The 10,040-nt window shown below is 44.9% G+C and overlaps 1 protein-coding gene, 1 non-coding gene and 1 pseudogene across 31 annotated transcripts in view, besides 4 other annotated features; 1 reads left to right on the top strand and 2 right to left on the bottom strand.

The window, feature by feature from the left end:
• On the bottom strand, positions 1 to 104 carry LOC124901836 (small nucleolar RNA U13). Its single transcript, XR_007060672.1, has one exon. It is a non-coding gene; the product is annotated as a small nucleolar RNA U13 (small nucleolar RNA).
• Positions 274 to 443: an enhancer, noted in NCBI's record as "experimental_97561 CRE fragment used in MPRA reporter constructs". NCBI's record gives its function as "activates a minimal promoter by MPRAs in K562 erythroleukemia cells, with activity observed for the non-introgressed 7:128701331 variant allele {active_cell/tissue: K562}" and the evidence as "EXISTENCE:reporter gene assay evidence [ECO:0000049][PMID:34662402]".
• Positions 4,396 to 6,412, bottom strand: TPI1P2 (triosephosphate isomerase 1 pseudogene 2; annotated as a pseudogene). Its single transcript, NR_002187.3, has one exon. The product of NR_002187.3 is annotated as a triosephosphate isomerase 1 pseudogene 2 (transcript).
• Positions 5,386 to 5,680: an enhancer, noted in NCBI's record as "tiled region #4017; HepG2 Activating non-DNase unmatched - State 3:PromF". NCBI's record gives its function as "activates a minimal TATA promoter and a strong SV40 promoter by Sharpr-MPRA in HepG2 cells {active_cell/tissue: HepG2}" and the evidence as "EXISTENCE:reporter gene assay evidence [ECO:0000049][PMID:27701403]".
• Positions 5,386 to 5,680: a silencer, noted in NCBI's record as "tiled region #4017; K562 Repressive DNase matched - State 1:Tss". NCBI's record gives its function as "represses a minimal TATA promoter and a strong SV40 promoter by Sharpr-MPRA in K562 cells {active_cell/tissue: K562}" and the evidence as "EXISTENCE:reporter gene assay evidence [ECO:0000049][PMID:27701403]".
• The window catches only part of TNPO3 (transportin 3), a 102,009-nt gene continuing 97,410 nt past the window's right edge, over positions 5,442 to 10,040 (top strand). For 28 of the 29 annotated variants that reach the window (NR_167917.1, NR_167913.1, NR_167925.1 and 25 more), the window contains exon 1: positions 6,524 to 6,984. Coding sequence is in view for 10 of the 29 variants with exons in the window: in NM_001382221.1 (NP_001369150.1) it covers positions 6,865 to 6,984 (120 nt within the window). In the remaining 19 variants the exon portion in view is untranslated. Of the gene's footprint in view, positions 5,641 to 6,523; positions 6,985 to 10,040 lie in introns of those variants that run through there. The other variant, XM_047420091.1, reaches the window with a different exon arrangement.
• Positions 6,492 to 6,991: an enhancer, noted in NCBI's record as "active region_26616". NCBI's record gives its function as "activates an Ori minimal core promoter by ATAC-STARR-seq in GM12878 lymphoblastoid cells {active_cell/tissue: GM12878}" and the evidence as "EXISTENCE:reporter gene assay evidence [ECO:0000049][PMID:35858748]".

Raw genomic sequence — 10,040 nt, 5'->3', positions numbered from 1 at the left:
CATCAGGCAGGTAATGTGCAGATGTGGTAACAAGGTTGGAGGGAGGTATATCTCACACATGCACGTGAAACTCCAGTCATCATGCTTATCAGCTACAAAAGAATCAAGGTATTGTCTTTCAGTGAAGCATAACATATCCCTGTCCCTAGTGCAGTCAGCATGGCTTTGCCTGAACTTTTACTATAATCTGTGTACCAAAGAAGTCTGATGTTATCGTATTCTTTCGGGCAAGGATGAGGGCCTTCTACTAACTCTCCAAGGCCAGTGGGCATAATGACAGATGTTATGGACTGAGTTGTGTCCCCCCAAAATTCATATGTTGACACCCTAGCCCCCAATGTGACTGTATCCAGACATAGTGTCTTTAGGAGGTAATTAAGGTCACATGAGGTATAAGGTAGAGCCCTAATCCAAGAGGACTGTGGCCTTACAAGAAGAGGAGCAAGAAAGTGGTGATCTGCAAGCCAGGAAGAGGGCCCTCTCCAGAACCTGATCAGGCTGGTACCCTGATCTCGAACTTCCAGCGTCCAAAACTGTAAGAAAATAAATTTCCCTTCTTCAAGCTGGTATTTTGTTATGGTAAGTCGAGCTAAGATTTTGATGAAGTTGGACTTCAGAATTCTTGGTGGAAGTGACAGAAACTTAATTTGAATTAGCTTGAGAAAAAAAGAATATTTCTTCAAAGAACTCTAGGAAAGAAAACAATGGGTATTAGAGTAAAACCACTGGCCTCTGACACACTGCCTTTGCAACTTCTCCCCAAAGTGCAGTGGCTCACTTTACCCTGAGGTTGGAGGATGATGTGGGGTGGGGTGGGTGTCAAGAGGCTACAAGAGAATTAAGGAGGCCTCTGTGGGGCCACAACCTACGCTTATTATTGTAACCTGAGGTTCACCACAAATCATGGGTGCCTTCTCATGGCAGATCAAAGCTTTTTTTTGGCGGGGGGTCGGGGGTACAGAATCTTGCTCTGTTGCCCAGGCTGGAGCTCAGTGGCACGATCTTGGCTCACTGCAACCTCCGCCTCCCGGGTTCAAGTGACTCTCCTGCCTCAGCCTCCTGAGTAGCTGGGATTATGGGCACATGCCACCACGCCTGGCTAATTTTTGCATTTTTAGTAGAGACGGGATTTCGCCATGTTGGCCAGGCTGGTCTCAAACTCCGGACCTCAGGTGATCCACTCACCTCAGCCTCCCAAAGTGTTGGGATTACAGGTGTGAGCCACCTCGCCTGGCCAGATCAAAGCTTTTATGGAAGGCTTCATGGCATTGCCTGTAGAGAACTGGAGTGCTTGAGGTACAGCCCTCAATCTTTGGATAATCTCACCCCAAGTCAGTAAAAGAAACACTCATTATCTCTTTCCTTCTTTCCTTCAGAGAATCCATATTTAGCTTGCTTGCAGAAGGAAGGAGTCAGGGCTCTTTTTGTTGGGGGTGGGTTTGGTCTCATGAAACTTTGCATTAGAGTCCAGTTTTCCTAGGGTTACCATTGTGCCTAATGACAAAAGTTATGGGGTTTTGATATTTTAAATATTTTATATATTTCTAATATTTTATTTCAAATGTATTTTCTAACAATATTCGACATCTCTGGTGCATTTATTTGGTGCTTAAAGATGCGCGTCTCAATCACTCCTTTGTCTTTAGCCACCAACTAGAAACTGACAACTCGCAAATCTGGATTTTCAACCCACCCCCTGGGCTTCAGTCCCACACATGCTACAGCCTGCTGGTCTTGGCTGTCTGTTAAGTGCCTCAATATTCAACATGGCTAAGATTAAACTTATCTTCATCCTCATATCCCTTTCTGTTTCCATAAAAGCCATTTCTTCCTTTAGGTTCCATATCTCAAAAGCCTGGGTTTTCTTCCCTCTTGTCACACCTTGCAGCTTAAGTAATCACCATATCAAGATTCTTCCTCTGAAGTTCCTAAATACCTCTCTATCTCCATGCCCACCGCCAACACTTTACTCCAGGCTACCATCACTCCTCACCACGATTATTACAATCTTTTCTTATTTCTGTTCTAGCCACCTTCCCTGCCCAAGCCATTTCATGTCAAACTAGACTTTTTTTTTTTTTAAGACTAAGGAACAAAGAAACATGTCACTTAAGACATTTGCTAAGCACCCACTATGTATCAGGTAATGGCATGAGGTCACAAAGATGGGTTAAACACTGTTTAGCTTCATTTCTTACTCCTACCCAATGTCAACTCTATCCTTCAGCTACTTTCAGTCTTCAGAAGGTAATTTTTTCCCTTGCCTCCAGGCTTTCATACTGTTGCCTCTGCCTACAATACTAAACCCTTTGCCTAATTGCTTCCTATTTATCTATCAGTCTGGTCTCAGTTTAGACATAATTTCTCCAGATGGTGTTACCAATCTCTCTACTCTGGGTTAGGTATCACCTCTATTTTTTTTTCTTTTTTCTCCAACTGTTAGCTAAATATCCATGTGGTGTTTTAATAATTCCTAACCATAGAACTTTTAAAAATAAGTTTTATTGAAATATAGTTCACATTGCCATAAAACTCATCCTTTTAAAACATATAAAAAACATATGCCAGTGGTTTTTAATATATTCATGAGGTTTTTCTGAACATCGTCAATAATTCCAGAGCATTTATTTCCATCAATACAAAAAAAAACAAAACCCAAAACAAAAAACCAACCCTGGAAATGACCAATCTACTGTCTATATTTAGAATTTTGCCTACTCTGAACATTTTATGTAAATAGAATCGCGTAATTAATGTGCCTTTTGTGTCTGGCCACTTTCACTTAGCATAATTTTTCAAGTTTATCTATATTGTAGCATCTATCTGTACTTCATTCCTTTTAAGGGTCAAATAACCTTTCATTGTATGGATATAGCACACTTTGTTTATCCATGCATCAAATGACGGATATTGGGGCTGTTTCTGCCGTCTATTATGAATAATGCTGCTATGAATATGCACGTGCAAGTGCTTGTATGCACACACGTTATCATTTCTCTTGAGTATATACCTAAGTGTAGAACTGCTGGTTCATATGATAATTCTATGTTTAACATTTTTTTGAAGAGCTGCCAAACTTTTTCAACATGGCCGCACCATGATACAATCCCATGAATAGTGCATGAGAGTTCTGATTTGTCCACATTCTCACCAGCATTTATCATTTTTTAAATTTTAGTTTTTCTAGTGGGTGTGAAGTTGTATCTCATTGCAGTTTTGATTTGTATTTCCCTGAGGGCTAATGATGAGCATCTTTTCATGTGCATTTGTATATCTTCTTGGAAGAAATGTCTATTCAAATTCACTGCCCATTTAAAAAACTGAATTATCTGAGGCCAGACATGGTGGCTTACGCCTGTAATTCCAGCACTTTGAAAGGCTGAGGCGGGTGGATCACTTGAGGTCAGGAGTTCGAGACCAACCTGGCCAACGTGGTGAAGCCCTGTTTCTACTAAAAATACAAAAATCAGCCAGGCATGGTTGTGGGCACCTGTAATCCCAACTACGTGGGAGGATGAGGTACAAGAATCGCTTGAACCCAGGAGGTGGAGGTTTCAGTGAGCTGAGATTGTGCCATTGTACTCTAGCCTGGGCAACAGAGCAAGACTCCAACTCAAAACAAAAAAACAAAACACACACACACACACACACACACACAAAACAAACCCAAAAACTGAGTTGTCTTTTCATTGTTGAATTGTAAGAGTTCTTTATATACTCTGGATACTAATCAGTTATCAGATATGTTATTTGCACATTCCCTTCCATGTTGTGGACTGTTACTTCACTTTCTTGATAGTGTCCTTTGATACACACAAAAAAATTTGTTTTGAGATATGGTCTCACTGTTTCCCAGGCTGGAGTGCAGTGGCACAATCTCTGCTCACTGCAACCCCCACCTCCTGGGCTAAAGCAATACTCCCACCTCAGCCTCCTGAGTAGCTGGGATTAGAAGCACCCACCACCATGCCCTGCTAATTTTTTTGCATTTTTTTTTGTAGAGATGGAGTCTCATTTCATTACCCAGGATGGTCTTGAACTCCTGGCCTCAAAGGTAATCCTCTTGCCTCGGCCTCCCAAAATGCCGGGATTACACAGTTGTGAGCCACCAAGCCCAGCACTAAATTTTTTTTTAATGAATGAATGGATTAGGTAACCAAAATATCAAGTTTCTTTTTTCTGTCTAAAATTGTATCAACTCTGTGCAGTAACATTGTTTTCATCATGTTGTTGGCAGTTAAAAATTCCTTGACTAACAATTCAGAAGCAAACGAATGCACAAGATGATAGGGATTGTGTGATTTAACAGGTTTTGGAGCAACACTGATCTGGATTCAAATCCTAACTTTAAGAACTGTATCCTTGGGCAAATTACATTACTATTTTTCTTTCTTTAAAATGCGTTTTTTTGTTTGTTTTTTAAGTGCCAGGGGTTTATTTCCCTCACATGTGGGATGGCTCACATACACAACACACAAAGGCGTTGGCACCGTGGGAGAGGGCAGCACCCCTGGCTTCTGCTTGGCCTCACAGTGTAAGAAGGGAGAGGATGGGTTCTCTCTCCTCCCCTCACTAGGGCCTAGGGGACCCAGGAGCAAATTCCATCCCTTTCACCTCTCAGCCAAGGAGAAGCCACATTGGTGACATTTAGTTCCAACAATTACAGTAAGTGGAGAAGGGATTGGTCTGGTCCCGACCATTACACGGTGAAGGTATACATAGTAAAGGAAGATACAGTTTGGATGAGGCCACAATAGGGTGCAGATGACACCATCAGAAGCATGTGCAGGGGAGGGGCAGTCACTCAGCTTCTGGGCTGCTTAGTTCCTGGGTTGGCAGGAAGGGTAGGGAAGACGGATGGGGCTCATTGTTTGGCATTGATGATGTCTACGAATTCGGGCTTGAGGGAAACACCACTCATGAGGAAGGCAGCCACGTCAGGCTGGCTGGCCAGCTCCTTGCAGGTTGCCTTGGTCACAGAGCCTCCATAAATGATACCAGTGCTCTGAGCCACTGCATCAGAGATGTTGGACTTAAGCCATCCTCGGAGCTTCTTGTGTACCTCCTGGGCCTGTTGGGGTGTTGCAGTCTTGCCAGTACCAGTGGCCCACACGGGATCATAGGCCAAGATGACCTTGCTCCAGTCCTTCACATTATCTGCGATGACCTTTGTCTGCTCAAAAACAACCTTCTCAGTGATGCCAGCTTCCCTTTCATCTAGCTTCTCCCCAATGCAGGCGATTACTCCGAGTCTCTCTGCCAGAGCATGGGCCACTTTTCTGCCCAATCAGCTCATCTGACTCCCCAAAGACACGCCTTCTGAGTGCCCCAGGACCACACCACCCACGTGACTCCTAAGTCTTTGACCATGCCAGGGCTGATCTCCCCAGTAAAGGCCCCATTAGTCACTTTGTAGCAGTTCTGCGGAGCCACAGCAATCTTGGGAGCTAGCTTCTGCCGGGCCAACTCGTTATACGCAGTGGCGAGAGCACAAATCACCTTGGTGTCGGCAGGCACAGTGGCCGCGTTCTGAGTGCCGATGAGCTCCCCCAGACATTTCTTCCGCCCGTTCATCTTCCAGTTCCTCCCCACGAAGAACTTCCTGGAGGGCGCCATGGCGCTGGAGCTGAGGCGCTGTAGGTCAGTGTCAGCGCCTAAAACGGGTTTTATTAATACTTGGCAAGGTTGTTAGGCGGATTAAATGAGATCTTGTAACTACAGTGTTTTACACATTGTGATCATTTATCAAATAGCAGTTATTTACTAGTGCAAAGGACTAGCAGCAATGTTAATATCAATATACTGTTACCTTTTGTCCCTAATTTCTCCATAGTACAGTTTCCAATATTTCTGTTTTCTTTTGTGAATTGTTAGACCACTGGTATTGGATTCGGACAGAAAGGCATTCACAAAAATACAGTTCAATGTGAGAATAACCCTAAAGATGTATGCAAAATGCTCTGGAGTTAGAGCACCAGGAGCTGTAAGCAGAATGAAGACCTCTTTTGGGCTTAAGAACTAAGTAAAGGGGAGCTGAACAAAGATTCTAGGCATTTTGGATTTATCTCAATGTGGCACATATTTCAGGTTTGTAAAATAGTTCAGTTGACTACGTGTCTGTCTCCTCCACTAGAGCCAGCGTAGGTACCATGTCTTAAGTCATCTTTGGATCTCCAGTACTGTGGCCACTCTAGGGAGAGTTGAATTGACGCGCCTTGATCACCAGGGCAGAAAAGGATTCTCTGGAGAGGGATGGGGCAGTCGGAAGGGGTAGGAAAAACCTGGATCCGTTTCCAAGGAGCTGAAGGCAGCTCAGATATGGGGCACATCTCGGCGCTAATGTCCCAAGCTGCTAGCGAGGAACAGAGAGAACACCGGCTCTTCTTCCCGGCTCCTGGCCCGGCAGGGTTACTTCCGGGAGGGGGCGGGGAGACAAGAGGAGGCGTGCCGGGAAGGAGGCCGTTTGTAGTGTACCAGGCGGAAGTGTGCCAAAGGTATCGGTGCTGTCGCTTCCGGTCCGGGTAAACGAACCTTAGGTACACTGGTGTGTGGCCTCCCAAGATAGGCTTCTGAGGGCAAGTCAGCGACTGAAGACGGGAGCGCCAGAATCTGTGGACTCAAGAGTCTAGAATCAAGTGGAAAAACCGGAAAAAAGGCCAGGAACCTGAATACGACCTAATAGCTGTTTCCGAGGGGGCAACTTCCACGGAGAGCCTTCTGCCCTGGTAACGGCCAAAGAGGAGGAGATGGCGCCAGTCAGGGAGCGGCCGTGGCCCAGACAGTGAGGAAGCGCGAAGGCGGAGCAACCGAGGAATCCTCCGGAGAAGAATCAGAGCCGTCGCTACCGCCACTACCGCCACCACCATGGAAGGAGCAAAGCCGACATTGCAGCTCGTGTACCAGGCAGTGCAGGCGCTTTACCACGACCCAGATCCCAGCGGAAAGGAGCGCGCCTCTTTTTGGCTTGGGGAGCTGCAGCGTTCGGTGAGGGGCCCAGAGAGGCAGTTCTGTGCCGCACGGCCGGGGCGGGGTGGAACCTAGGCTCCGGGGGAGAACCTGAGCCCGGCAGTTGACCTCGTGAGGTCCTCCTTGGGGAGGAGCTGCTGTCGTGGGGTGGGGCTGCGAAGCTACATCTTTGCCGCTTTTGGGAAACTAGTCGCACCTGATCGGTCGCGAACTGGCCCTTTCCCCACCCGGCAGAATCTGATTTGTAGGTCTTATACTCTTCGATTGTGGCATCAATCTAATCTTGTTTAAGTTCTCCCTTTGCCGTTGCTTCTTGGGCCGTGCTTTTCCGTTTTGTCTTCCTCCCACCAAATCCAACCCCAGTGTTTCTCCACCTTCCGCTTAAGAAGGCTTTATTCGTCTCCCCTCCGTGTCCAAGACTTGCATCTGGCATTTTGCTCCCAGTCGTAGCCTTATGCCTCACTCTTTTTGCCTATTTTCACTCCAGTTTGAGTCTGTTCTTCTCGAAACTTCTCAGGTTTCTAGATTCTTACTCATGCGAGTTTTCCCCTTGCTTTGGAGTGGCAACATAATATGAAGAAAAAACAGTAATTCTGCTTTCAGAAAATCTTTGGAGTTCTCATTTTGTTTCATATTAATCCTCTAACCTTGTTATTTCTCTGGCTTTTAGATTTTTATTTATAAGATGGGTATCACTGCTGCTTTGATTATTCCATATAAAACTGTGTGTGCATCCGGTGAGATATTTAATTGTAGCTTATATCTGTTGTATTTCTGCATTCTTTGATTCATGTTTTATGCTTCCTGCCCTAATTTTCACACCTTTGCTGTGCTTCATTTCTGTGTAAATGTGTATTCTTGGTTATCTGGCTGACTTAGGTTCTAATGTAGGATGTACTTTAAAAATTAAGTACTTTGAAAACTAAAGAGGCTTTTTTTACAGGCTGACAAAATACTCACCTTTACCTTTATTTTTGCATTTTATACTCACAACCATATTTTTTTTGGCCCCCTTCCCTTTATTTTAACTCATAACTGATACTTAAAGGTGCTCTGCCTTATTAAATCAGCTCCTAGGCTGCAAGTGCATAATATTTAAAAATTTGCAACTTTGACTTTTTAAAAATCTGGTCTTGGTATGGAGCAACTTTGCCTTTTTTTTTTTTTTTTTTTTGAGACAGAGTCTCGCTTTGTCGCCCAGGCTGGAGTGCAGTGGTCCCATCTCAGCTCACTGCAACCTCCTCCTCCCGGGTTCAAGAGATTCTCCTGCCTCAGCCTCCCGAGTAGCTGGGATTACAGGTGCCTGCCCTGACACCCGACTAATTTTTTTTTTTTTTTCTTGAGACAGAGTCTGGCTCTGTTGCCCAGGCTGGAGGAGTGCAGTGGTGCTATCTCGGCACACTGCAACCTCCTCCTCCCAGGTTCAAGTGATTCTCCTGTCTCAGCCTCCTGAGTAGCTGGGATTACAGGCACACGCCACCACACCCAGCTAATTTTTGTATTTTTTAGTAGAAACGGGGTTTCGCCATGTTGGCCAGGCTGGTCTCTAACTCCGACCTCAGGTGATCCGCCCGCCTCGGCCTCCCAAAGTGCTGGGATTATAGATGTGAGCCATCGCCCCCCGCTGCAACTTTGACTTTGAATATTAAACCTAAAAAACTGGCACCCAAGTCCTCTTCAGAAAATAAAGGAATACGACTCACTGTAGGCTACACAAGAAAATCATTCACATATGGTCTCATTTAGTGTTTCTGTGATCTCTGGAGAGTCAACAATTCCCTGATCTTTGTATAGTTTTCTAAAGTGTAATTAGGAGAAGTGCTACACTATACTAAAAAAGTAATCTCTTTCTAATTAAACCTGCTTGTTGTGTGTATTTTAAATCAATATTTGAGTGCTTACCATGTGCCAGCAACTATGCTGGGTGTTTGGATTTGGAAATGAACCAGACAAAAATCTCTGCTTACCACAGAAGGTAGTTGTGATTAAATGAGTTAATATTCTACGAAGAGGTTAGAAAAGTTCTTGGAACATAGAGATTAAAATGTTAGCAATTGTTATTTAAGTATTAGTCACTTTTCTCTCCTTACTTTCCAATACTCTATTACAACCTTACATCATCTTCACCATCACAGTTAATAGTCAGAGTCCAGACAGGAACAGATGGCACACTTGACAGGATAATCTGAGTTTATTTTATAAAGATACTATTATAAAGATTTAGGTATAGTGGTGTGACAAGAAATAGTTTGGTAACCTATAGCTGAACGGTTAACATCCCATAAAAGAGGGAATAGTTACTTGAAAAGTATGGAGTTGGCTGCCTTGAGAGGAATGGTGACTTTCAGCCGAAGGGACATAGCTAGTTTCAGGTGACCTTGAGAGAATGAAGCTGGAGGAATGAATATCCTGACCCTGTTCTCTTAATTTCTTGCTGGGATTCCCCATTGGCCAAACCCAACCGGAAGCCAGGGGCACAGTGACCTGTTGGTAAAGTCTATACAGGTCAGCCTATTGGAGCAGAAAACATGATAGAGGAGGGTGGAAAAGTGGATCTGGAAAATATCCAGCAGTAACACATCACGTTTAGGCAACTTCAGCATCTGGATTGACAGTTCAGCTAACACTTTGGCCTTCTGATTCCTTTACCTCTTCATTCTCTTTAGCCACCTGGTCACACAATCACACCCTGGATCTTGTCTTTACTAAAAAGCCACCACCCAGGCTGGGCGTGCAGTGGCTCACGCCTGTAATCCCAACACTTTGGGAGGCTGAGGCGGGCGGATCGCTTGAGGTCAGGGGTTTGAGACCAGCCTGGCCAACATGGTGAAAACCCGTTTCTACTAAAAATACAAAAATTAGCTGGGCGTGGTGGTGCGCACCTGTAGTCTCTGCTACTCAGGAGGCTGAGGCAGGAGAATCTCTTGAACCCAGGAGGTGGAGGTTGCAGTGAGCTGATATTGTGTCACTGCACTCCAGCCTGGGCGACAGAGCGCGACTCCATTTCAAAAAAAACAAAAAAGTTGCCAGCCAGGCCAGGCCCATTGGCTCTTGCCTGTAATCCCAGCACTTTG

Source organism: Homo sapiens, chromosome 7 (assembly GCF_000001405.40).
Source record: "Homo sapiens chromosome 7, GRCh38.p14 Primary Assembly".
Lineage (NCBI taxonomy): Eukaryota > Metazoa > Chordata > Mammalia > Primates > Hominidae > Homo > Homo sapiens.
The sequence above is the reverse complement of the archived record's forward strand: the minus strand, read 5'-3'. Positions and strand labels throughout refer to the sequence as shown.